The sequence below is a fragment of the Homo sapiens genome, chromosome 11 (assembly GCF_000001405.40).
Source record: "Homo sapiens chromosome 11, GRCh38.p14 Primary Assembly".
NCBI classification, from domain to species: Eukaryota; Metazoa; Chordata; class Mammalia; order Primates; family Hominidae; genus Homo; species Homo sapiens.
In genome coordinates, this window is record NC_000011.10 from 68,889,465 (window position 1) to 68,916,142 (window position 26,678).

The 26,678-nt window shown below is 50.6% G+C and overlaps 2 protein-coding genes across 9 annotated transcripts in view, besides 3 other annotated features; one reads left to right on the forward strand and one right to left on the reverse strand.

Moving 5' to 3' along the window:
* Positions 1-1,813: 1,813 nt before the first annotated feature.
* On the reverse strand, positions 1,814-14,368 carry MRPL21 (mitochondrial ribosomal protein L21). Of its 4 annotated transcripts, none has more exons than NM_181514.2 (7): positions 14,259-14,368; positions 11,084-11,141; positions 8,463-8,548; positions 7,051-7,214; positions 3,939-3,991; positions 3,426-3,529; positions 1,814-1,931 (listed from the first exon to the last, which is right to left on the reverse strand). In NM_181514.2, the coding sequence occupies exons 1-7, from the start codon at positions 14,344-14,346 to the stop codon at positions 1,867-1,869; spliced, it is 618 nt and encodes a 205-aa protein (NP_852615.1). In that variant the 5' UTR covers positions 14,347-14,368; the 3' UTR covers positions 1,814-1,866. The 4 variants fall into 4 exon arrangements, 3 of the variants coding, with proteins under 3 accessions (NP_852615.1, NP_852616.1, XP_005273880.1); NM_181515.2 differs by having other exon boundaries at positions 11,071-11,141; XM_005273823.5 differs by having other exon boundaries at positions 1,844-3,529.
* Positions 14,241-14,968: an enhancer, noted in NCBI's record as "H3K27ac hESC enhancer chr11:68671173-68671900 (GRCh37/hg19 assembly coordinates)". NCBI's record gives its function as "activates a minimal SCP1, AML or CMV promoter by ChIP-STARR-seq in primed H9 embryonic stem cells {active_cell/tissue: H9 hESC(primed)}" and the evidence as "EXISTENCE:reporter gene assay evidence [ECO:0000049][PMID:30033119]".
* Positions 14,400-14,519: an enhancer, noted in NCBI's record as "active region_5145". NCBI's record gives its function as "activates an Ori minimal core promoter by ATAC-STARR-seq in GM12878 lymphoblastoid cells {active_cell/tissue: GM12878}" and the evidence as "EXISTENCE:reporter gene assay evidence [ECO:0000049][PMID:35858748]".
* The window catches only part of IGHMBP2 (immunoglobulin mu DNA binding protein 2), a 36,711-nt gene continuing 24,459 nt past the window's right edge, over positions 14,427-26,678 (forward strand). For 4 of the 5 annotated variants that reach the window (NM_002180.3, XM_047426881.1, XM_017017671.3 and 1 more), the window contains exons 1-6: positions 14,427-14,574; positions 16,605-16,774; positions 18,681-18,873; positions 19,070-19,167; positions 21,976-22,139; positions 25,359-25,559. In NM_002180.3, the coding sequence (NP_002171.2) occupies positions 14,489-14,574; positions 16,605-16,774; positions 18,681-18,873; positions 19,070-19,167; positions 21,976-22,139; positions 25,359-25,559 (912 nt within the window). In that variant the 5' untranslated portion in view covers positions 14,427-14,488. Of the gene's footprint in view, positions 14,575-16,604; positions 16,775-18,680; positions 18,874-19,069; positions 19,168-21,975; positions 22,140-22,921; positions 24,887-25,358; positions 25,560-26,678 lie in introns of those variants that run through there. The other variant, XM_017017670.3, reaches the window with a different exon arrangement.
* Positions 14,850-14,909: an enhancer, noted in NCBI's record as "active region_5146". NCBI's record gives its function as "activates an Ori minimal core promoter by ATAC-STARR-seq in GM12878 lymphoblastoid cells {active_cell/tissue: GM12878}" and the evidence as "EXISTENCE:reporter gene assay evidence [ECO:0000049][PMID:35858748]".

Sequence of the window (26,678 nt, forward strand, 5' to 3'; positions counted from 1 at the left end):
TGACTTCAAGTGATCTGCCCGCCTCAGCCTCCCAAAGTGCTGGGATTATAGGCGTGAGCCACCACACCCAGCCAATATTGGTAATATTTTATAGGCATGTCACCAAACAGTTCCCCAGACGGCAGTGGCTGTAGGTAATACAAATAGTGAACACTGACTGAGCACTTGCTGTGGGTGGCTTGCTAACTGCTGGATTCCTCACAGCAACGCATTAGGTTTGGTGCTAGGATGACCCCCATTTGACAGATGAGACAGGGGCTGGGTAACTTGCTCAAGATCACACCCAGCTCACTGCGGTGGGTCTGGGATTCACACTCAGCTCTCTAGCTGCAGAACCCATGCTTACACCCCACCCCACCACCAAGCTGAACTGCCTGACTGCAGCAGGAGTCTCCAGAACCTGTTTTTTATTTCAAGCATAGTAAGAAATGGAGATGTGCTTATGTCAAAGAATATGGAATAGGCCAACGATTCCCGTCTTAAACATCCTATAACCTCCACATAGAACAGAGACCACACGAGACGCTGCTGGGCTGGCTGGGAGAGAACCTAGAGAGGGGGTGGGTAAGGGGAAAGGATGCGAGGCCTCATGATTCTAGAGACATCACTTTCAGATGGAGATAGCATGAGCTACCGCATTTAGAAATTTATTACTTCCAGATGTGGCTGCATTAAAGACGCAAGCACACCACAGCCCCAGGTCCCTCCCACCACCCCCAGCTTCGCTCCAACCCATGTGGAGCCCTGGAGGCCTGACTCTCTGGGTTCTCACGTCTCCAAATTCAGGATGCCCGGGATGGGCGGGACCAGGAGCGCTCAGCCCACTGGGCTGGCGCCCCCTGCTGCACGCGGAGAACACGATGGGGGAGCTGGGCCAGCACCTACCAGGGCGCTGGGCACCTGAGGGGTTTTCTTATCTCCAGATCTCAGAGCGACTCCCTGTAGGACTCCTGGGGAAAATACTTAGCCGGGTCGGATTACAGGTTTGTATCTTGTCACTTGAAGCCCTAACTCTTCTTTTGGAGGATGGCTCTGTCTTTGTGAATGAACCAAACCAGGGGCCTGGCATCATCTGAGAGCCCCTCATCCCCACGCCCAGGCCCTTCCCTTTGCTGGTTCCTTCGCTACTCTGGCTCCAGGACCCTGTCCCTTCTCACCTGGGTAGCTCCCAGCAGGCCCTGCTGCCTGCCTCAGCCACCCCTATCGATCCCAGCAGCCCAAGCCCTCTGGGTCTGCCTGCTACTTCCAAGACTGAGTTCAGCACAGCCTGGGCCTCTGCTCTGTCCCTGCTGTTGTCAGCTCCCAGAATGTGCTGTGCCCACTCCCCAGCTGTCCCTCCTCCTGTCCTGCCCAGCCCTCCTGGATCCCTGCTGCGCTGTGTCACTCCCCCTGCACTGTGATCCCTGCCCCTGCTCGACTGTGTGAGGCAGAAGGGCCAGGAGCAGGGACCCGAGGCCACCTGCTCTGAACCCCAGCCTTACAAAAGCCCCGCTGGCGACAGATCTGTTTCGATTACTCAGATGGAATTTGCTGTTCTTGTCCATCTCGTGGAATCTAGGTTGCGCCTCTCTTGATGTCAGCTCCAAGTCCCAGCTGCGTCCCCGCCCCACTCCCCTGGGCCCTGCCGCCGCCACATGGGGTGGAGGGCTGCCAAGAATACTATTTATCCAGCCCTGGGAGGGCCATGCTTGTCATTCTCCCCGAGTTCCTGTTTTCTCTGGCTCGGGGGCCTGGTGCTTACAGACATGCTGCTCCAGTTAAACTATCTACAACAGGCATGCACGGCTTTAAACCAGAACACAGAAACCTGGTCTCCTTGGGAAGCAGGAGTTTATTTTTATCCTTTTGTAAGTATTAACTCGGTAATCACAACAAACACGGAGCAATCTCAATGCTGTTTATCCGGAGGACAGTCTGCGGGGTCGTGACGACTGAAAGAAAGGATGTCACAGGCTTGACCACAGACCCTGACTGTTGTCATCAGTTACAGCAGGGGCTCTGCACACAGCCCTCCCCAGCCAGCGCGACCCCGGCAACGTCCCCTGCTGCACATGGCCGTGTTTATCTCCAGGTGTGCACTGACTGCCTCGCTAGCTTGTTCGTTCACTCTGTTGGCAGGTGCAGAGGCTGGGACACCAGACGCCTCATGGCCAGGAGTGCCCTGCGCTGGCACCTCACCTCTCCTCCCACACTGTCTATGCTGTGACTTCTGGAGTGCGTGGGAGGATGGCCCCACCTGAGTGACCTTGAGGCTACCTGGAAGTGTCAGAAGGTACATGAGAGGCTCCCCTACCCAGATGACTCTAAGGTGACAGCCAATACCAGTATTCTGGGTATATTTAACTATGCCCACTGTTGGTGGTTTAGGCCGGCAACTGCAGTTATAGCAAGAGCTGTGAGGGACAGAATTCTGCAGCCGCTCAGCTATGTGGCCCATGCCCCGTGGGTGCCATCCCTCAGGATGCCCACTATGGGGGATGTCCTCAGTGCAGACCTGCTAGGACAGCCCTACACCTGCTTGCGGATTCACTGCTGCTTTGGGGACAGTGCTAGGCGTCATGGGTTGGAACAAAGTGGGGTCATGCGTGGAGGGTGGAGGAGAAGGGGAGCGAGGTGGGGTCACGCGTGGAGGGTGGAGAAGGGGAGCGAGGTGGGTTCACGCGCGGAGGGTGGAGGAGAAGGGGAGCGAGGTGGGTTCACGCGCGGAGGGTGGAGGAGAAGGGGAGCGAGGTGGGTCACGCGCGGAGGGTGGAGGAGAAGGGGAGCGAGGTGGGGTCACGCGCGGAGGGTGGAGGAGAAGGGGAGCGAGGTGGGGTCACGCGCGGAGGGTGGAGGAGAAGGGGAGCGAGGTGGGGTCACGCGCGGAGGGTGGAGGAGAAGGGGAGCGAGGTGGGGTCACGCGCGGAGGGTGGAGGAGAAGGGGAGCGAGGTGGGGTCACGCGCGGAGGGTGGAGGAGAAGGGGAGCGAGGTGGGGTCACGCGCGGAGGGTGGAGGAGAAGGGGAGCGAGGTGGGGTCACGCGCGGAGGGTGGAGGAGAAGGGGAGCGAGGTGGGGTCACGCGCGGAGGGTGGAGGAGAAGGGGAGCGAGGTGGGGTCATGCGCGGAGGGTGGAGGAGAAGGGGAGCGAGGTGGGGTCACGCGCGGAGGGTGGAGGAGAAGGGGAGCGAGGTGGGGTCACGTGCGGAGCGTGGAGGAGAAGGGGAGCGAGGTGGGGTCACGCGTGGAGCGTGGAGGAGAAGGGGAGCGAGGCTGGACCCTCTGGGTGCTCCCTCTAGGATGAGGGTGGCAAGTGGGCAGTGGCAGCCAGGTTGAGACCTGCCTGGGCTTCCTGTCCCGAGACCCACGTGCCCCACACCCTCCGTCCGCATGCGCCTGGGCAACCAGCACCGTGCAACAGGGCCCAGCGGTACTTTCTCTAACTTACTTCTTTTCTTCTTGAAGTTTTTCCTTTTCCTGAATCTCATAATGATTCTTGGCCATGATTCTGTCTTTTCAATGACTGTGGCTTCTACTCGAACAAGATCCTTTCTAGAAGGAAGAAAAATCAACAATAATGTACCTTTTGGATTATTTTTCAAATGCCTTAGGTGAGAATTTCTAAAATGAAGTTATACTTTCTCTTTTGTTGATTATAAAAGTAATACGCCCTCAATGGAAACATTTTGAAAACCACGAAAAAGGACCACAAAGAACAGTTCCAGGGAGTCTGAACAAATCTTCAGAGGACCACACTGTCATGAAACAGCAAGAGACCAATAATTTGGTCTGGATGTTCTCATGGGCCCTAAATGTCCACTATTATTAAGTATAAATGTTGTGTTTGGTGTCAACAAAGAATATGAATGCAACTCCCCACCTGGCCTAATTGCACTGTGACCACTGTCTGCATGTCCAGCCCTGGAGCCCCAGACAAAGCCCAGCACTTCACAGCCATTACCCGAGGAGTGGCTTGCCAAGCAGCGTGAAGTTGTCTGCCCCAACCAGCAGGACCTGAAAAATTCAACAGGTGTGTTTCATCAGTGGCTCATTACGATGAGTAAGAACAGTTGCTAATAACAGGTAGTGATGTCAACACCACACAAAATGAGAAAGACTGAAAACATTGTGACATGAATTTCATCTGCTGTCTAATGATCTCTTTAATATCTACAACCGGGGCTGTGAGCTGACAAGTGGCAGCACTGCACAGCCGTGGGGCTGCCTAAGGGAAATGCTCCAACCCTCAGAGGAGACGCACAATTTGATTATTAGATACCATGGATATGCATCCAGATAGCTGCTGTAATCCTCATACCAACGGTGACTTCAAAAACCCTTTCTATCTCCGGCCAGGTGCGGTGGCTCATGCCTGTAATCCCAGCACTTTGGGAGGCCGAGGTGGGTGGATCACAAGGTCAGGAGATGGAGACCATCCTGGCTAACACGGTGAAATTAGTCTCTACTAAAAAAATACAAAAACTTAGCTGGGCGTGGCGGCATGCACCTGTAGTCCCAGCTACTCAGGAGGCTGAGATTGCACCACTGCACTCCAGCCTGGGCGACAGAGCGAGACTCTGTCTCAAAGAAAACAAATAAACAAAAAAAAACAAAACCCTTTCTATCAAAGCATAACATAGAGAGAAAAAGCACAAATCATACCATTGTGTCTCTTGGCGCAGTTTACAGTTCTACTAATATTGCAATGATTGAGGCTCTCCTGTATTCTTTTAACGACTGCAAAATTCTCAAGAGCCAGGCAACCATTCTCAATGCCGGGAAATCACGACACCAAGTGTGGCTGCAGATGAAGACATCTTTGCTTCCAAATGCAACAGTGTTCTTTCTTCTTTTTGTGACCCAGAGTCTCGCTCTGTCACCCAGGCTGGAGTGCAGTGGCGTGATCTTGGCTTGCTGCAACCTCTGCCTCCCAGGTTCAAGTGATTCTCCTGCCTCAGCCCCCTGAGTAGCTGGGACTACAGGCGCCCACCACAAACCCCGGCTAATTTTTTTTGGTATTTTTATTAGAGATGGGGTTTCACCATGTTGGCTAGGCTGGTCTCAAACTGACCTCAGGTGATCTGCCCGCCTCGGCTTCCCAAAGTGCTGGGATAACAGGCGTGAGCCACCACGCACGGCCTACAGTGTTTTTATTAGATGTTGGAGATCATCTTAAATTTTACTGATAAGAAAAAATCCAATCATACTCAACTTAAATGTCTAGAGACAAAGTATATCATATAACAAACTCAGCGGACACGCATGTTAGATAGTGACAAATAATAAAATAAGTATTTTTAGAGTTTGTTTCAGCATGACATGTGCACTCCCACTGGGTTTCCTGTTATAAAAAACAATCTGCTTAGGAGGGGCTTTCTAGAATTTTTTGTTAATGTGAAATGTTTCAAATATGCAAACATCTGCCTTCAGAGGAGGAGCTTTAATTCATAAAGAAAACCATGTAACTTATATTGATAATTAAGCATCCCAGAAAAATTACCTGTTGCAGAGGTAATTATAATTTTATAAAAAGAGTGGGCAGGCCGGGCGTGGTGGCTCACGCCTGTAATCCCAACACTGTGGGAGGCCGAGGCGGGCAGACTGCCTGAGGTTGGGAGTTCAAGACCAGCCTGACCAACATGGAGAAACCCCATCTCTACTAAAAATACAAAATTAGCCAGGCATGGTAGTGCATGCCTGTAATCCCAGCTACTCAGGAGGCTGAGGCAGGAGAATCACTTGAACCCGGAAGGCAGAGGTTGCAGTGAGCCGAGATTGTGCCACTGTACTCCAGCCTGGACAACAAGAGCAAAACTCCTTCTCAAACAAACAAACAAAAAAAAAGAGTAGGCAAAAATCAAATAGACGCCCCCAGCAAATAGAATCATAGCTGAAGGCTAGAAATGCCTAGCTAAATAAACAGACTGGCCAGGCACGTTGGCTCATGCCTATAATCCCAGCGCTTTGGGAGGCCAAGGCAGGTGGATCACCTGAGGTCAGGAGTTCGAGACCAGCCTGACCAATATGGTGAAACCCCATCTCAACTAAAAATATAAAAATTAGCAGGGCGTGGTGGCATGCACCTGTAATCCTAGCTACTCGGGAGGCTGAGGCAGGAGAATCACTTGAACCCAGGAGGTGGGGGTTGCAGTGAGCCAAGACTGCGCCATTGCACTCCAGCCTGGGTGACAGAGCGAGACTGAGTCTGAAAAATAATAATAAACAGACAAACCATGCAGTTTTTTTTGAGACAGGGTCTCGCTGTGTTGCCCAGGCTCGAGTGCAGTGGCCAATCACGGCTCACTGCAGCCTCAACTTCCCAGGCTCAAATGATCCTTCTACTTCAGCCCCACAAATAGCTGGGACTACATGTGTGTGCCACCATGCCCACCTAATTGTTTGGAATTTTAGTAGAGATGAGGTCTCTGAGGTCTCACCATGTTGCCCAGGCTAGTCTTGAACTCCTGAGTTCAAGCAATCCCCCACCTTGGCCTCCCAATGTGGTGGGTCACCAGTGTGAGCCACCATGCCTGGCCTAGACCATGCAGTTTTGAATGGTCGGTGAGGTAAATTAGCACCCAGGGAAATGCCTGTCAACCAGTGTTTACTATTTAAAAACAGCAGCAGCTGTCAAAGCTAATGACAGAGTACTGTCTTAGCAGAAACTTAACAGTTTTTTCCTCATAGACAGGGGCTATAAAGTGCACTACATCCTTAACCGGGATTTTTATTATCTTTGCAATCAAGCATTTTTCTATGGGAATATACTAATAAGACTGGAACACAATAAAGACATGTTTCTGCCCTCAGCACTGTTTTATGTGCTGTCTCCCTTCCTCCAGGGAGCAGACCTGCTGGGCCAGGCACCGCCCTCAGAGCAGTGGAAGCCTGCCCTGCCCTTGGACCCCAGCCCCGCCGTGGGCGCCCCCCAAAGTCCCTTCTGAGCCTCAGCTTTGTTGGCCTCCACCTGAGACGGGGTCGGCGAGGGTCCCTCCTCCGTGTGAGCTGGGGCGTGGAGATTACATACTTGGTGGCTGAGTCCCTGAATATCCAGAGAAGCTCGGTGGTCTCACCTTCTCCAGTCGAATTCTCTCTCCACACGCAAGGTCTAGTTCATTTCCAATTAAGATCAGGTCTTCAGAGGTCACCTTCCACTGGCGGCTGGCAAAGTGCACCACGGCAAAGAGCCTGCCATACTGCCCCGTGACGATCATCTCATTCACCTTCTTCACGACCTCTGCAGGGGAAGGCGGGTGGGTGGGCAGTCACCCTCACCTGCTCCCCCACGCGCTGCAGTGTGATGTGCAGCTCCTGGTGGTGGGGCCCTAGGGTGGACCTGACAGCCAGCACCCCTTGTGAGCACCTCACTGCTGGCGGCCCAGCCCCTGCTCCACCCCCTGCAGGCACAAGGGCAGGCACAGGGTCAGTCTGCTGCTTCAGGAGCACCAGCACTGTGGCACATGGGGCTTTCACAGAAGGAAGCTCCCCAAGACTGCAGAGAACGCCCAAACCGCCTCATGCAACTCCCTCGCCTAAGCACTCGGCACGCCTGGCTAGGTTTCTACAACTCTAGGGTGGGCGAAACCCTCCACCTGGTTCATTCTCATGAGAATGAGGAGCCAGCAGACCAGAAGTGTGCAAACCCCAGGAAGCGAAAGGAGAGGACTTTGCAATGAGGAGCCCCCCGTATCCCAACCCCATATCCCACCCCTGGGGCAGGACGCGTTCCCCCTGCACGCCTGTGCCCAGAGGGGCTCCGTGCTCAGTTCCTGTTATCTCTGCTCTGACCCAGGTCACAGTCCCCTCTCTTCTGCACCGTTTACTCTGAACAAGCATTTAATGGGCACCGACCCCCCGGCCTGACCGAGGGCGAGACACACAGAAGGGACGACAGAGTGCCTGCCCTGGAAACACTGTCAACACCAGAAGCACCAGCACCGAGGGTGAAACTCTTGGCAGACTTGTTTCACTCGCACGGAATCTCAAACGGTATTTAACATATAAGAAGATTCCACTCGAGGATCTTGATTTCCAGTGTTCTGGAAAGCGAGGATCATGGCAAGAGTGGCTAATGATCCTGTCCCTTCTGACACGGGCTCCAGGTCGACATGAGTCCTGATACCTCTGCATGTTTCTCCAACAGCCCGGGTGGCACCGGCTTCCAGTAATTGTGCTTAACTGTGCTAACTGGGGAGAGCTGTCGCTGCACCCACCAACAGAAGCAGACGAGATGGAGCAGGGGCCCCCTGCCCTCAATTATGCCACCTGCCTGCAGTGTGGCAGGTGTTCAAGGAGTAGTTAATGAAAAACATCTGAAATTCTGGTGTTAACTGGTGAAAATGGACATGAGTGCTGGCACTGTGCTGTGTCTGGGAGCATCTGGAAACATGAAGCCTCGTTCTGTGGCCTGGTGACAACCTCTGTGGCTGACTGGAGCAGGGTCTAGGTGGTGCCCTCTAGCTTCTGTCTCCCAGGGAGGTCTTACCTGCATGGTGTCTGGTCTCCTCAACTGGGTCTGGCAGAACAACTTCTGGCCAAGGTGGTGAACTCAGGGATGTTTTAGGAACATATCTGTAAAACACATTTCGTAGACAAATGTCACAAGCACCTGAAAAGGCAGCTCAAATCCTCTAAGAAATGGCCACACACAAATGTTAGGAAGGGATCCCCGGCAACAAAAGGCTCGCTCTTTCGGACAGGCCCCGCCCCTCTGGGGTAACCCCGAGGACAGGCTCCCTGTATCCTTTTAGAACCACAGGGAACAATGGCTCATCATTCAATAATCAAAGCAGGAACTCTCATTGTTCTGCAAAAGAGCCCTCACTTGGGTACTTCTCAGTGCTGGAAGGGTGCCCATCCAAGAAGGCTGGGCTTGTGGTGTCTTGGGGCACATTTATCTTGGAGGCACAGGCTGCCTCTACTTTCCCCACAACCCAGGACACAGGGCCAGCAGCTCTCCCGCCTCCCTTGGCATCCAGTGGCCCTGGAATGGCAGCTCCAATGACCCTTCACCACATCCTGCTCAAACAGGACCATGACGTTCCCTGCTCCACCTCCACCTCCTCCTAGGTAGGTGCCTGCTCTTCCTTCACACCCAGGTGAGTGCCAGGCAGAACTGGCTCGGAACCCCAGACAATTCTGTGTCCTGGTGTCTACAACTGAGCAAATGGGAAAACAAGCACCCGCCTGAAAGGGCTGTGTTAGGTATTAGATGGCTACTGTTCACAGCCGGTCCCAGCATGGCCAGTGAGGGTCGGGTGTTAGGAGTGCTCAGTCTCAGCAGCTATAGCACTGCGGTCCCCAGCCACTTCCCCTCCCCACCCTCAGGATGCCAAGCTTGGTGCGGGCAATGCCTTTTTTTTTTGAGACGGAGTCTCGCTCTGTCACCCAGGCTAGAGTGCGGTGGCATGATCTCAGCTCACTGCAACCTCTGCCTCCAGGGTTCCAGCGATTCTCCTGCCTCAGTCACCTTAGTAGCTGGGATTACAGGCACATGCCACCACATCTGGCTAATTTTTGTATTTTTAGTAGAGATGGGGTTTCGCCACATTGGCCAGGCTGGTCTCGAACTCCTGGCCTCAAGTGATCCGCCCACCTCGGCCTCCCAAAATTCTGGGATTACAGGCATGAGCCACCGTGCCCAGCCCAAGATCTTCTTCATTTCCTAACTCTCCCCTGCCTGCTCAGCCTCAGGTAGGTGGAGGGGAGAGGAAGGGAGGAAAGAAAGAGGGGGGCCTAGATTCAAAAGGAGGTGGGGTCTTTCTTTCTGTAGTCTACAAAGAGGGAGGGTAGGTAGATCCCAAACCGAATTATTCAGAACCGTTTTTAAGCTTTTATTGCTGCTGCCACTGCAAAGTAAAATTTCAGTCTTTCTACTCCAGGGTTGCATTAGGAGGAAGAAAACGACTTGCTCCATATGCAAAATGCACCGGCCTCCACACCAAAGACCAGGCCCACCCGTCCTGTTGGCTGGCGCGCAGGAGGGGCTCCACACCAATCTGGGAGAGGAATGAATGCTTTCCCAGTGGGGTAGGGCTTGGAGCTCCTAGAGACATGAACTCCGTGATCTGTGGTTGGTCAATGACCTTGAGAGACAAGGAGGACAAGGAAGGTGCTGCTCTCTACAAAACGTCTTTGACCTGTTTGATGTCTAGTCTCCCCATACGGGTTCAGCAGTGCCCAGTGTGAGAAGAACACGCTGGCAGGAAGGTGCTAACCTCTCACACAGGACACAGGGGTAGTAGGCACAACCTACCCACATGCTCACTTACAACTTCTTCCTATGCTCAGAATGTTTTGCCGCTTCTTTGAGAAGCAAGAAAGACTCCCACATCTCCCCACTGCAGAGGATCCCTGGAGTCCCAGCAGCAGTTCCAGCAGCCAATGTTTTGTGAGTGCTGACTGTATGCCAGGCACTGTTCTAAGAGCTTTAAATGTATACATTTACTTAATCCTCTCCAACACCCATGCAGATAGAAATGAACATTACTTCCATCTTGCAGAAGCCTGGCGTCCCAGGCTGTGAGGGGCAGCCGGAACTGCACCCCGGGGGGGTCCCTACAGTAACTGCTATCCCTGCACTGCTCCTGTGTCTCCCACCAGTGAGTGGAACTTTGTCGAATGTTTTCTGCAGTTTATGATACCTAAAAATGTTTTCTCAAGTATAAAATTTTAACACTGAATGTGCTTTTTCAAATAATGAGTTTCTCTTAGAGACTCTGATACAAACTTCCTCATCAGAAATCTTGAGTTAAGACTTCAAGCTCCTCCATAATAAAAGAGAGCAAACACATACAGAATTTCTCTTTGGTCTCTTGCAGTTACGTCTTCTTTTAAGGGTCTCAGAAAAATACCGTCAAAAAAGTTAAAGCTGAAAGTGGTGGTGCATGCCTGTAATCCCAGCTACTCAGGAGGCTGAGGCGGGAGGACCACTTTAGGCCAGGAGTTCAAAACCAGTCTGGGAAACATAGTGAAACTCTGTCTCTTAAAAACAAAAGAGGAAATTTAAATATTATTGAGAACCAAAAGGTAGGAAGTTTTGACTTTAGAAAGATGGTTCTACAAATGAAAGGAAAAGAGGCACCAAAACCCACATTTTGATATTACCCTGGTAGATATGAAGTGCTCTGTGAATTGAACCTTCGAGAAGCAGACCAAAGGGAGGCTGAGGGAAGAAGAGAAACACAGATCATTACCATTAATACTACAAATGCAAACTGCCCTTTATGATGCTAAATGCACAGCTGCTGCTCCTGGTACATGGTATGAACCACTGCATGACAGCCTGCCCACAGAAACACCTAGGTGAGCAAAACTACAAGAACGTCACTTACAGCTACTGGTTATATGTGTTGAGATCAGTTAGCCACATCATCTACAAGCGCCTGAGACCAGAACCACCCGTCCACTAACTCATGCCTTGACTAAGTGCCTGGTAGGTTCAGACTCTGATCTGTGCCCAAGCGTGGGAGCAGCCTCCAAGATGGCCCTGCTGGGCCCCGCCTCCTGCTATTCTTACCCCTGTTAGCCCCCTGGGAGTGGCCTGTGTGTCCAACAGCTAGTGACAGACATGCTAGCACGTGGCTTCTGGGATGAGGTGATAACCAACTGGGACTTCCATCTTGGATGCCTGTGCTCACCCTTTCTGATCTCTGGCCTTAGGGCTGCCCTGCTGTGAGCAGCCCTACCTAGAGGTCCACATGGCGGGGAACTAGGCCTATCGCCAACACCCATGGGAACGACCTTGCAGGTAGATTCTCCAGCCGCTGGCGCAGTGGAGTCTTGAGATAACTACAGCCCCTGCAGACTTGCTTGCTGCAAGCTAAGACCCTGAGCCAGAACCAGCCACTTAAGCTGCTTCTGTGTTCCTGGCTCTCAGAACTGGTGTGAGTTAATAAATGTTTTAAGCTGCTAAGTTTTGGGGTAATTTCTGATGTAACCGTAGATAACGCATACACCAGGAATACACCAGGAAACAAAGACATTCAATCTACTGAGAAGACAGGGGATCAAAATAAGTGCTTAGGTGTAAAAAGCAGAGAACAGTTTCTCAATAACCACTTTTAAAGAAACTCAGCTATAATTTACACACCATAAAAACCACCTTTTTAAAGTTCACCCATTAGCACCAGCTCCCCATTTGCATCTCCTCGGCTGCTTTCTCCTCTCCTCTCCCATTTGGGCATCCGGGGCTCAACCCTTGGCCTTGACCTCCTCTCCGCCCATGGCCATTCCTCTGGTGACTGCATCCAGTCCGATGGATTTAAACACCCCCAATGTGCTGGTGACTCCCAAGTTTACACCTCCAGCCAGGGCTTCTCTCCTGGTTTTGCATACCCACCTATCTATCTGCCTTAGCCACTCGTGTCTGACGAGCACCTCACACCTCCAGAGGCTCCTCATTTCTTCCCATGCCTGCTTCTCCCACACTCCTCCCTCTCACATGAGGGCAACTTCATCCTCCCAGTTGCTCAGGCCCCAAACCTCCATCAGTTTTGACTCTTCTCTCGCACACTACTCAGTCAACCCATTGGCAAATCCATCCCACTATTAAAAACTTAGCAGGCTTCTGTACCTAATTTGCTTCTAGCTTTGTTTTTGGGTCCCCAGGGAACAAACAGTCTCCTTCCTCTCCCACAGGATTTCCTTTAGGTAGTCCTAGAGACTGTGACTGTGTACTTCCATCACGTCTCCTTTGCTCACTCTTCAAGGCCCCAGCTGCTCACTGTTTTGGTCACCTTGTCTCTACTCGCTTCACTGTGTGTCTTTCTCTCCTAATGCGTGAGTCTGTACTTGAACATAGCATTGGAGGGGTGGTTTCATGTAGGTAGGTAGAATGGAGTAAGTCCCACTGCTTTTGTAAAAACTTTCCTGCCTACTTAAACCTAAGTTTTATTATGGAAAATGTCAAGCATACAAAAGTAAAGAGAACAGAATAGTGAACTCTCTCAATTATCCCTTTCCAGGTTCAACAGTTACCAACTCATGGCCAATTTTGGCATCTACATTGCCTCTGGCCCAACTCTGTGATTATTATTAATTTCTTAATAGACTTTATTTTTTAGCACAGTTTTAGTTTCACACCAAAATTGAGTGGAAGGTACAGAGAGTTCCCATATGTCCCCTGTCCATGTGCCCACAGCTTCCTATCAACATCCCTCACCAGAGTGGTACAATCTTTACAATTGATGAACCTACATTGACACATCATTGTTATCCAAAGTCCATAGTCTACATTAGGGGTTCACCCTTGGTAGTGTACATTCTATGGATTTGGACAAACTTATAATGACATGTATCTACCATTATATCATACAGAATAGTTTCACTGCCCTAAAAATCCTCTGAGCTCCACCTATTTATCCTTTTCTCCCCCAATCCTCTTACCCCCCATGTAACTTTTTACTGTCTCCTTAGATTTGCCTTTTCCAGAATGTCATAGTGGGAAACATACAAGATGTCCCCTTTTCAGGTTGGCTTCTTTTACTTAGTAACATGTATGTAAGTTTCCTCCATGTCTCTTCATGACTCATTTCTTTTTATTGCTGCATAATATTCTACTGTATGGATGTCCTACAGTTTATGTAACCATTCATCTCCTGAAGGACATCTGGGTTGCTTCCAAGTTTTGGGAATTATGGTACTATTCTTTTAATATCGTCCAATATAGAGTTAGATCCAGTTTTCCATTTTTGGGGGTCATGGTGAGACATGAAACCCAGGTTTAAAACATACATAAACACTCATGCACACAAATACACACTCCAACCATTTTCAAGCAGAGATTTATAGAGTTTTTAACGGACATAACCTTTTTGGAGCCTCGTATCAGCCCAGCGCCTTAAATACGGCTGTTTCTTTTGCAGAATGAGTTCAGATTAGGCGAGGATATCCATCACCATTTTTCAGACCAGCTCGCAGCCTGGGGGCAGTGGTTCAAGCACAGGCTTTGGAGCCGAAATGACTGCGCCTGAAGTACTCTTCTTCCACTTCCCCGCTGTGTGACCCTGGGCACGTTACCTAGCTCCTCTGAGCCTCACTCTTCTCCCCCATAACATAGGGCCTATACCAAAGTTCAAGGGCTATTGTCAGTATTCAGGCTACTAACTGAAGGAATCAAAATCTGAACCTGGGTTCCCCCGACTCCAAAACCCGTGCTATATTCACCACAAATGCGATCAACACACAAGGCACCAGGTCGGACCCAGGCACATACGTGGCGAGACCGCAGGGAGCAGCGCTCGCTCTGCGTCCTCCCTTCCTCCCATATCCCAGGTCTCACCTGCTCCGGGCCCCGAAGGTCTCAGGATGCTGTGGCTGCACGCGGACGCCAGCCGCCCTAAGGTGACCGTCAGGGAAGATGCTGCCATGGCCGCAGCCTCGGCCGGAAACGGAAACGACGCGAACCGCGTGCGTAACGCACGGGCCCGGCGGGGAACACCGGTCCGCTGTAACACCGGCCCGGCGCAGAAGCGGGACGTCGGCTTCTAGGGGCCCAGGCCGGCGGCGGCGATGGCCTCGGCAGCTGTGGAGAGCTTCGTGACCAAGCAACTGGACCTGCTGGAGCTTGAGAGAGACGCGGAGGTGGAGGAGCGCAGGTACGGGAGGCCGCCGGCGCCGCTCCCTCGCGGTCGGTCCCGCCGTGTCCCGGGCAGAGTCTCCGAGGGGCTCGGCCTCATAGTCTGGGGCGGGAATTTCGTCTCCGACCCTTCGAGTCAGGGGCAGGGATCGTCCGTCCCCTGCTTGGCCACCTCCCGAGTTGTCAGTCTCATCACTTCCTGGGCAGCGCGTTCCGTTTGGGGACCCTTAAGAAGCACTTTGATTTCCCGACCCGAGACCCCCCACTAAGCTTACACTCCTGGGCCCTGGCCCCGACCCCAGTTCCACCCGCAGCGAGTTAGCAGCCCTTTCCCTTATTCATTCAGTAAACATGGTTTGCGCCCATTCTCAGTCAGGCCCCGGCAGCATGAGTCAGGTGCACTGGCTGCCCCCGATCCGGCCAGCGGCGGGCTGGGCATAAGCAGAGAGTCCCTTCCCCTCCAGTGCGTCCAGGGCCGGCTGCGTGCGTGTCGCGGGGAAAGAGCCTGGAGGAGGAAGGCCCTTCCCTGGGGAGGGTCATGGTGGCTTCAAGGAGGGAGTGGTGCCTGAAGGAAAATTGGAGTTAAGCTGGTGGGTGCGGAGTAGGGTGGGGAGCCGTCCTGAGAGGTGTGGGGAGCCATGTGAGAGCCGGGCTTGTTTCCGAATGGGACTATTTACTTGTCCAAAACAATCAGAGCTAACACTTACGTACTTTCCATGCGTTAATTCTTTTACACCTCATCCCATGCCAACCCTACAGTGTAAGTTTCTTTTTTTTCTTTTTCTTTTTTTTTTTTTTAGACAGAGTCTCTCTCTGTCGCCCAGGCTGGAGTGCAGTGGCACGATCTCGGCTTACTGCAGCTTCCATCTCCCGGGTTCAAGCGATTCTCCTGCCTCAGCCTCCTGAGTGGCTGGGACTACAGGCGCGCCACCACGTCCTGCTAATTTTTTGTATTTTTAGTAGAGACAGGGTTTCACCATGTTGGCCAGGATGGTCTCGATCTCCTGACCTCGTGGTCTGCCCGCCTTGGCCTCCCAAAGTGTTGGGATTACAGGCGTGAGCCACCGTGCCCGGCCGCAGTGTAGGTTTCTGTTACTGTCATTTTCCGTCTAAGGAGATGGAGACAGAGAGGGGTTAAGTAACTTGCCCCGGGGTGACACAGTGTAGCCCGATTTGCTGTCAGGCAGTCTGCTTCCAGAGTTTGCAGTCAGCCATATGTGGGTAGGATTTGTCTGAGATGCTTTTGATCATGGCAATGGAGAGCTTTTGCAGTTATGTTGAGTTTCTTAGAATCCCAGCTGTTTCATTTATGGCTGTGTGACTTTGCAGGTTCTGTCTCTGAGCCTTACTTACTTCATCTGTAAAACTGGGATGATTCCCACCTCACAGGCTTGCTCTGAGAATGAAACGATCCCCTGTCAGTCAGGTGCTCAGCGTGGTGCCAAGGACAGAGTCAGCCCCCATGGCAGTGGCTCTTTCTGAGGATGCTGAGCAGACTGGCAGGGCGAGCCTGGGAAGGGCCTGGCTAAGGAGCTAGTCTTCTGTTCTGTGTATGAAGGATGGGCCATCAGCGGGGTTAAGCAGGTGAGGGAGGCGAATAGCTTTGCATTTTAGGAGGATTTCTTGGGTCTCCTGCTTTTGATTGGACGTGGAGAGGCCAGAGGTAAGGTAGTTGAGAGGCTCTGTTTAGTCCAGGTGAGCAGTGATGTGGATTTGAACCGGGGCTGTGGCAGCCAGGATGAGAGGCAGAGAAGTCCAGGTAGAAATGGGAGGGGCCTGATAGGACTTAGTGACAGATGGGAGGAGAGAGGGGAATGCTGATTGAAAGATCTGTCTCAGGTAACTGAGAGAAGGGTTGTGGCATTAACTGCCCTAGGGGGATGTAGGAGGAGCGGGATTGGGAGTGGAGCCAATTCGGAGTTCCATTGGGACATATTTAGTGCCTGTGAGTAGATCTTTATCTATGTTTCTTTCTCTTTTACTTTTCCTGGGTGGGTGGAAGTAGAAACTAGTAAAAATCCTGAAGCATCAATACCGGGTGTCTTCCAGGTCCTGGCAGGAGAACATCTCTCTGAAAGAGCTCCAGAGCCGAGGCGTGTGTTTGCTGAAGCTGCAGGTATCCAGCCAGCGCACTGGGCTGTACGGACGGCTGCTGGTCACCTTTGAGCCCAGGCGATACGGGTCCGCGGCAGCTCTTCCCAGTAACAGCTTTACTTCTGGTGTGTGCGTATTGACCTAGACAGACATTGAAATTTACTGGCATTCAGACCGTGACTTGTACCCTCGTAAAGACTGGATTAAAATGACCAGTTGGAGAATAAAGCGTTGCAATGAAGAACTCTTAATCAGAAGTCCAACAATTGATGTGGGTTTTAGTTGTCTAGATCAGCGTTGTCCAAAATGGTAGCCATTAGCCATGCGTGGTCATCAAATGTTTGAAGTGTGGCTTGTAATTGCCGCAGATACAGAATACACACCAAATTTGGAAGATTATGTTAAAAAAACAATTGGGAATATCTTGAGTAATTTTTCTGAATACTGATTACATGTTGAAATAATATTTTTCATATATTGGGTTAAATAAAAAATATCTTATTAAAATAATTTACCCATTTCTTTTCTTTTTTTTTTTTTTTTTTTGAGACAGAGTTTCGCTCTTATTGCCCAGTCTGGAGTGCAGTGGCATGATCTCGGCTCACTGCAACCTCCGCCTCCGGGGTTCAAGTGATTCTCCTGCCTCAGCCTCCCGAGTAGCTGGGATTAGAGGCATGCGCCACCGTGCCTGGCTAATTTTGTATTTTTAGTAGAGACGGGGTTTCTCCATGTTGTTCAGGCTGGTCTCGAACTCCCAACTTCAGGTGATCCGCCTGCTTTGGCCTCCCAAAGTGCTGGGATTACAGGTGTGAGCCAGTGCACCCAGCCTCTTTTAAATTTCTTAATATGGCTACTAGAAAACTTAAAACTACACGTGACTGGGTGCCTGTAATCCTAGCACTTTGGGAGGCCGAGGTGGGTGGATCACTTGATCTCAGGAGTTCGAGACCAGCCTGGGCAACGTGGCAAAACCCCATCTCTGCAAAAAAATAGAAAAATTAGCCAGATGTGGTGGTGTGTGCCTGTAGTTCCTGCTACTTGATGGGCTGAGGCAGGAGGATCGCTTGAACCTGGGAGGTTGAGGCTGCAGTGAGCTGAAATCACGCCACTGCACTCTAGCTTGGGGGCAAAGTGAGACCCTCTCTCAAAACAGACAAAAACAAAAGAAAAACTACATGTGACTCTCTTTATGTTTCTATGTAATGGGCAGCCTTGGTCCAGCTGGTAAACATGCAGGATGTGTACTTCTGTATTCCCAACCCTTTCTTGTGCCAAGCATGCTTTGGCTAAACTTGTGCCAGCCTGGTTGGAAAGGAGGGACAGTTAGAAGAAGCTTCTTAACCACACGCCTGGGATGCTTGTGTTAGACAACCACAGCCTTGGAAGCCTGGAGGAAGCAGCGTTGCCAGGGCTGTACTTTTTACTATGGAAGTGTCTCTGCCTTGTTTTGGTGGTGACGGAGTTTTAAATTTCATATTTTGATTTCGTAGACTTTAGCCCAACAATTACTGGAATACTGGCTGGATTTGGAGAAGATGAGATGAGGGTATTGAGAGAGGAGAGGGCCAGGAGGGGAACCTGTAGGTTGGAGTCAGACCTGAGCAGAGTTTGAGATTTTTTTTTTCTGAGATGGAGTCTCACTCTGTCGCTCAGGCCGGAGTGCAGTGGTGCAATCTTGGCTCACTGCAGCCTCAGCCTCCCGAGTAGCTGGGACCACAGGTGCCCGCCACCACGCCTGGCTAATTTTTTGTATTTTTAGTAGAGACGGGCTTTCACTGTGTTAGCCAGGATGGTCTCAATCTCCTGACCTCGTGATCTGCCCACCTCTGCCTCCCAAAGTACTGGGATTACAGGCGTGAGCCACCGTGCCCGGCCTAACTTACTTTCTTTTTTTTTTTTTAACTGTTACTGATTGCATTTACTAAAGAAAGTAACAAAGATAAAATATTTGAAGTATAGTGGATTTTATTACAGAAAATGATATTGAAGCTTTCCCCAGTGTCTTGTGTCACTGAGTCTTTGTTTTTGCAGGTGATATCGTGGGCCTGTACGATGCTGCTAATGAGGGCAGTCAGCTGGCCACTGGGATCTTGACCCGGGTCACCCAGAAGTCGGTCACGGTGGCCTTTGATGAGTCCCACGATTTCCAGTTGAGCTTGGACCGAGAGAATTCCTACAGACTGTTAAAACTTGCCAATGATGTCACTTACAGGCGACTGAAAAAGTAAGTGGATGGGACTGGAAATCCTAAGTACCATCTTCCTTCAACACAGCTAATCCATTCTTACATGCCTGTCGCACAAAAGAGAGCAACAAGTCATGGTGTGGGTGTGGCCCTCATGGGAGTTGGTGGCAGCATTGGGGCAGAGGCTCGGGCACTGAATTGCAGGTGTTCTAATTTTAGTTTTCTCCCTTGGCAGAGCCCTGATTGCTCTAAAGAAGTATCATTCTGGCCCAGCCTCCTCACTCATAGAAGTGCTCTTTGGCAGATCTGCTCCCAGTCCTGCCAGTGAAATACGTAAGAACTTCTGAGTTTTCTTTTTTGGTTGAAATCACTACTGAAAGTATAGAGAACAGTGTGACCTTGGGCCGTTTTAATAAGAGTTTGAGAAAGTATGACTAGAAGAAGTCTCCCTGAACATCTTTGTAGGAGTGTCTCGGAGGGCCTTGCATGAACTGGACCGTCCTCCTTGTACTCAGTCCTAATGAACTGGCTCGTTCCATTGAGGTTTTTTTTTTTTTTTTGAGACAGAATCTTGCTCTGTTGCCCAGGCTGGAGTGCAGTGGCGCGATCTCAGCTCATTGCAAACTCCGCCTCCCGGGTTCAAGTGATTCTTTTGCCTCAACCTCCCAAGTAGCTGGGACTACAGGCATGCACCACCACGCCTGGCTAATTTCTGTACTTTTAGTAGAGATGAGGTTTCACCATATTGACCAGGCTGGTCTCGAACTCCTGACCTCATGATCCACCCGCCTTGGCCTCCCAAAGTGCTGGGATTACAGGCGTGAGCCACCGTGCGCCTGGCCCCATTGAGTTTTTAGTTAAAAAAATTTTTTTTTGGCGGGGGGGGTGGAGGGGGGGGGCGGATGGAGTCTCGCTCTGTCACCCAGACTGGAGTATAGTGGCATGATCTTGGCTCACTGCAACCTCCGCCTCCCGGGCTCAAGTGATTCTCATGCCTCAGCCTCCTGAATAGCTGGGATTACAGGCACACGCCACCACGCCTGGCTAATTTTTGTATTTTTAGTGGAGACAGGGTTTTGCCATCTTGGCCAGGCTGTTCTCAAACTCCTGATCTCAAGTGATCTACTCACCTCAGCCTCCCAAAGTGTTGGGATTACAGGCATGAGCTACCGTGCCTAGCCTCCATTGAGTTTTAAAATAATGTTCTTTTTAGTGTATATAAATCTTTTATTTTGAAATGTAATGATATTTCTTTTAGCTTAGTACTTTGTGAAAATAGAGGAAAGCTGATCATACTTTATGCTTGATAGCAATTTTAGGTTGGAAAAATCTTTTTTTTTTTTTTTTGAGACGGAGACTTGCTCTGTCACCAAGAGTGGGGTGCAGTGGTGCGACCTCGGCTCACTGCAACCTCCGCCTCCTGGGTTCAAGTGACTCTCCTGCCTCAGCCTCCCAAGTAGTTGGGATTACAGGTGCCCGCCACCATGCCCGGCTAATTTTTGTATTTTTTAGTAGAGACAACATGGTTTCACCATGTTGGTCGGGCCGGTCTTGAACTCCTGACCTCAGGTGATCTACCTGCCTCGGCCTCCCAAAGTGCTGGGATTACAGGCGTGAGCCACCGTGCCCGGTCTGTGCACTTTTTATGTCCTTTGCTGTTCTTGGAGAACGTCATTTTTGGGAGGAGTTTGTTGTCTCATCCAGTCACTGCCCATGATTTAACAGTCCTGTGAGTATTGGACTTGGCCCATTTGTAAAGCGGTGGCTTTGGCCAAGCCTCATGCAAGGGTTACCCCACAGCTATTTTCTATCATACTGTGCTAGGCAAGCCAGTGTTGTGTTAGCTTCAAACACACAGGACGACTTTGTAGCACTCTTTCAGCATGCAGTCCCTCAAGATGTGTTGTTTTTAAATACTCATTTTCTTTCTGCATTTTCCTTTGGAAATTCTAAATGCAGTCACATTTCAGTAATGCTTTATTTCTATGAAATATTTACTGAAGGGCTCCTATGCGTCACAAACTGAATTAGAAATGTATTTACTGTGTCTTAGGGACTCTGGAATGGCTTGGCTAGAGCACGGGAACGTGGGGTTCAATGGCCTGTTACTAGCTGCACACCCTGCCGTCTTCCATGTTGGCTTCAGTCTCACAAGTCAGGGTCAGCAAACACCCTTTGCTTATGAGCTGCTCCTTATCCGATAGGCGTCTCTGTGTAGTGGGCACCATGTAGCGAATGCCATGGCTGCAGGGCTGAGCACAGCACCACCTGCTCTCAAGAGCACAGCATAAGAAGCAGGTCTTGGCCAGGCGCGGTGGCTCACACCTTTAGTCCCAGCACTTTGGGAGGCTGAGGCCGGCAGATCATGAGGTCAGGAGATCAAGACCATCCTGGCCAACACGGTGAATCCCCGTCTCTACTAACAACACAAAAAATTAGCTGGGCATGGTGGCACTCACCTGTAGTCCCAGCTACTCTGGAGGCTGAGGCAGGAGAATCGCTTGAACCCAGGAGGCGGATGTTGCAGTGAGCTGAGATCATGCCATTGCACTCCAGCCTGGGTGACAAGCAAGACTCCATCTCAAAAAAAAAAAAAAAAAAGAAGCAGATCTTTAGTCTTGGTCGTGGAAGATTCAAAATAGAAACACGATCCTAGAATTTGTTAATCATTGTTTTTGTCATTTGTCTTTATCATTTTATGGGCACTTTAAAGAGGGACATTATGTTAGAAAGGAATATGCTCTAGGAAACATTTCCTTCATTCCTGTTACTCTAGAGCAGGGGTTTTTCCTGTAAAGGGATGGATTGTGAATGTTTTGACTCTGTGGGCCATATCATACGTACCGTCTACAGCTGCCTGCTGTAGACGGTATGTAAATCAATGGGTGTGGCTGTGCTCCAGTAAAACTCACCAAAACCGGCAGCTGACTGGATGTGGCCCACAGTTTGCCGATTCCTGTTCAAGGAGAAACCTTGTGAAAATAAAGCAGACTTAATTTTGTGTTGATTGGGTTGCCCCTGGGGAGGTCCGGCGTGTTCCTGACAGGCATCACTCATCCCCCGGGGCACACACTCTCTGAGGAGGAACACCCACAGAGCTCCCCAGAGCACCTGAGCCTCACGCTGCTGCTTCTTCCACAGACCCGCTGACATTCTTCAACACCTGCCTGGACACCTCCCAGAAAGAAGCGGTTTTATTTGCGCTGTCTCAGAAAGAACTTGCCATCATCCATGGACCTCCTGGCACTGGGAAAACCACGACTGTGGTTGAGATCATTCTTCAAGCTGTGAAACAAGGCTTAAAGGTGGGCAGTGCATGCCACTTCCCTGTCAGAGCCCGTCCGCTCCTGGTCTGTTGTGTTCAGTGGGTGCTCAGCGACCTTTCAGCCTCAGTTCTGGTGGGATGGGTCAGGAACATTACTGAGCATTTATTGATTGAGCCTTGGACTGCCCCTGTTTGATTTCCAGCATCCCCGTGAGTCTTGGGGAGCACGCGCAGGAGCCGTAGCCTGGGTTGTTGAGGAAGGCTCCTGGAGCCCTTTGAGGCGTGGCAGCCTTCGTGTCGGCCAGGCCCTGGGTCAGGGTTTATTTGTTCACCACGCTTGCTGTGCTCGTGCTCCTCCGTGTGCACGCCCGTGCAGGGGCCTGGAGTTGGCCTGGGCCCGGTCTGTGCCCGTCAGGAGCTCAGCGTCTGGTTGAGGTGTTAACAGCTAATCAGATAGTCTGGTTAATGGATACGATGCACATGTCCAGTGCACAGATGAATGATTTTCTGAGATGTGGAATATAACATTGTACATTATTATTCACTTACATTTTAAATTTTTTTTATTTTTATTTTTTGGAGACGGAGCCTCACTCTGTCACCCAGGCTAGAGTCTGGAGTGCAGGGGCGGGATCTTGGCTCCCTGCAACCTCCGCCTCCCGGGTTTAAGTGATTCTCCTACCTCAGCCTCCCGAACAGCTGGGATTATAGGCGTGCGCCACCATGCCTGGCTAATTTTTGTATTTTTAGTAGAGATGGAGTTTCACCACATTGGCCAGTCTGGTCTCACTCCTGACTTCAGTTGATCTGCCTGCCTCAGCCTCCCAAAGTGCTACGATTACAGGCATGAGCCACTGTGCCCGGCCCAGTTACATTTTTAATGGCTGAAAAAGGATCTTTTATCATCATCTGCATCAGCTTGAGTCATTGTGGATCTTGGCACATGGAGAGTTTTTTTTTTTTTAATTTATTTATTTATTTTTAATTATACTTTAAGTTCTAGAGCTTTTTGAAAAAACTTTCTGGTTTATAAAAATGTTGGATAATGATGAGAATTGGAATAATGGCCAGTTTTGTAGTTTGATGTTTACTGGGTGCTGCCTACCACCAGGCATCGTTCTGAGCACCCATTTAATCCTCACTGAAACCCTGTGCCAAGGCAGGTGGTTAGTGGCCCCAGTTTGTAGACAAGGAAGCCGGGTGTGGTGGCTCACACCTGTATTCTCAGTACTTTGGGAGGCTGAGGCGGGTGGGTCACCTGAGGTCAGGAGTTCGAGACCAGCCTGGCTAACATGGTGAAACCCCGTCTCTACTAAAAATACAAAACAATTAGCCGGGTGTGGTGGCACACACCTGCAATCCCAGCTACTTGGGAGGCTGAGGCAGGAGAATTGCTTGAACCTGGGAGGTGGAGGTTGCAGTGAACTGAGATCGCACCATTGCACTCCAGCCTGGGCAATAAGAGCAAAACTCCATCTCCAAAAAAAAAAAAAAAAAAAAAAAAACCAAAAAAACCACGAGGAAACTGAGAAACAAGGTCAAATGCCCAGCACTCAGAGTGGCAGAGCCAGCAATGGAACTCGGGCAGAGCGCAGGGAAGCCTGTCACTTGCTTAAAAGATTACGTCCAGCGGTTTTCCAATGTGTGAGTGTCTTTGCACATGTTTGAAAACTGGTAAGAAAAGATGACTTATTGGAAGGGAGCAGATTGGTGGTTTTAATTGGGTGCCGACTATTCACTAAAAGTGAGCCAAGACACACCTGTGTGCACGCTTTGGTGGAGATATGCCTTTGGACATGCCAGTGGGGTTGGAGGCGATGCTGGGCATAGAGAGTGGGTGGCTGAGCCTCCTTCCTGAGCTGCTGTTTGTTTTGAGCTTAAGGGCCTGTAGAGACTCTGCCTCCTCTGCTGGTTGCCACCTCCTCTTTTTTTTTTCCTCAGAGATGGGGTCTCACTATGTTGTCCAGGGTGGTCTTAAACTCCTGACCTCGCACCTTGGCCTCCCAAAGTGCTGGGATTACAGGCATGAGCCACCGTACTTGGCCAGCGTCTCACTTTTAATAGTGGAGCTGTGGCTGGGTGCAGCGGCTCATGTCTGTTATCCTAGCGCTTTGGGAGGCCAAGGGGGGAGGATCACTTGAACCCAGGAGTTTGAGGTCAGTCTGGGCAACATAGCAAGACCCAGTCTCTACAAAAAATAGAAGAAATTAGCTGGGCATGGTGATGCATGCCTGCAGTCTCAGCTACTTGGGAGGCTGAGCCAGGAAGATAGCTTGAGCCCAGAAAGTCACGAAACACCAGGAGTGTGGTCTAGGTCTTGCTGCTCGCCACACAGAAAGCCAGTTACTGAGGACAAGTATTGCCAAGGAAGAGGCTTTATAATCAGATGGTGCAGCCGAGGAGATGAGAGCTCATCCTCAAACCCATCTCCCTGACTAAAACTAGGGGTTTATATAACAGGGAAGAAATGTAGCAATGTGTAAAAAACAGGAACTAGGGAGGGCAAGGAGGCACCTGTAGTGGTCTGGTGATTTTCAGATCTTTGATATTTTTTTGAGAGGCCTCAATGTCCTTTTCTGAGGAAGAAACTCACATAAATAAGTTTGAAGCTTTAACAGCAGATGGTCAATTTCTCTTTATCCAAAAACAACTGTCCATGGGACTATTGAGCCGGTTTCTCCATGATCCTGCCACTGCGCTCCAGCCTGGGCCATAGAGCAATTTGTTTCAAAAAAAAAAAAGAAAGAAAGAAAAATATAGTGGAGCTACAGTGTTCGGGAGACAACTGTGAGTCCATTTGAAACGGGAAGGGTTCCCTTGTCCCCCTCGCAGGGCGTGGGATGGGGGAGTGGCTCGCTTCTTCAGTGTCCTGCTGCTCAGACCTGCAGGGGAGCATACAGATGGGCAGGCTGTGGGCTCTGACCTCATGGCAGTGTCTAGGGGTGAATGTTTACAGCTCTGTGAGTTACAGGGTGCTCTCTTAGTTTGCCGTCTATAGGTGGCTTATGTTAACCAACTCAATTAGATCCCCTTCCTTGTCACAAGGACAGAGGGCTTTCTGTATCCTGGGTTCTTGCCTTGGGGTACCGGAAGAATCGGATCACACGTGGGCTTGGAAAATGAATGCAAGATTTGATTGAGAGCACGTGTGTACATGCCTTGTGCTTCTTTCTACCTTTAAGGCTTTTTGTTGTTTTAGTGTCAACTTCAGTGGTTTGATTACAAAGTAAATGACCAGATCCTAACTTGCGGTTCCCAGGTTCTGTGCTGCGCCCCCTCCAACATCGCCGTGGACAATCTGGTGGAGCGCCTGGCTCTGTGTAAGCAGCGGATTCTGCGCCTGGGACACCCTGCCCGCCTCCTGGAGTCCATTCAGCAGCACTCCCTGGATGCGGTTTTAGCGCGGAGCGACAGTGCCCAGATTGTTGCAGATATCAGGAAGGACATCGACCAGGTCTTTGTAGGTGTCATGGCCAGTGTCCATGTGGGGCGTGGGCTTCTGATCTGCAGTCTTTTTAAGGAGCAAATTTATCTGTCTGCATTCCTCTTGACCTTCTCTTGCTTCTGTCGATTCCTTTAATAATTTTAAAAATTGGGCTGCCCTTTTTTTTTTTTTTTTTTTTTTTTTTTTTTGTGACAGAGTTTTGCTCTCATTGCTCAGGCTGGAGTGCAGTGGTGCAATCTCGGCTCACTGCAACCTCTGCCTCCTGGGTTCAAGCGATTCTCCTGCCTCAGCCTCCCTAGTAGCTGGGACTGCAGGTGCGTGTCACCACGCCTGGCTAATTTTTCTATTTTTAGTTGAGACAGGGTTTCATCATACTGGTCAGGCTGGTCTTGAATTCCTGACCTCAGGTGCTCTGCCCGCCTCGGCCTCTCAAAGTGCTGGGATTACAGGCGTGAGCCACCATGCCTGGCCTTTGTTTTTGTTTTTTTTTTTGAGATGGAGTCTCGCTCTGTCACCCAGGCCGGAGTGTAGTGCTGCTGTCTTGGCTCACTGCAGGCTCCGCCTCCCGGGGTCAAGTGATTCTTGTGCCTCACCCTCCCAAGTAGCTAGGACTACAGGCATGTGCCACCACACCCAACCAATTTTTTTATTTTTAGTAGAGACGGGGGTTTCGCCATGTGGGCCAGGCTGGTCTCGAACTCCTAACCTCAAGTGATCCACCCGCCTCAGCCTCCCAAAGTGCTGGATTACAGGTGTGAGCTACTGTACCCAGCCAGGGCTGCCCATTTTTGATAGAGAACTATACTTAGCATTTAACAGAGTCTCAACTGTCTTCAGAGCACTTGGTTAGTAGGTGTGAGGAATTGTAAAGAAAACATTTTCCGGCCGGATACAGTGGCTCACACGTGCAATCCCAGCACTTTGGGAGGCCGAGGTGGGCGGAACAGTTGAGGTCAGGAGTTCGAGACCAGCCTGGCCCACATGGTGAAACCCCGTCTCTACTAAAAATACAAAAATTAGCTGAGCATGGTGGCGGGCACCTGTATTCCCAGCCACTTGGGAGGCTGAGGCAGGAGAATCTCTTGAACCTGGGAGGTGGAGGTTGCAGTGAGCCATGGTCACTCCACTGCACTC

Bases quoted from the DNA above. Each gene is read 5' to 3' on its own strand.
- MRPL21 (XM_005273823.5), bottom strand. From the start codon at position 14,346: ATGGCAGCATCTTCCCTGACGGTCACCTTAGGGCGGCTGGCGTCCGCG. The intron at 7,215-8,462 runs GTAAGACCTCCC...CTTCCCCTGCAG, and splicing joins GGAGACCAGACACCATGCAG to AGGTCGTGAAGAAGGTGAAT. The intron at 3,530-3,938 runs GTAATGGCTGTG...TCTTCCTTCTAG, and splicing joins CTTGGCAAGCCACTCCTCGG to AAAGGATCTTGTTCGAGTAG.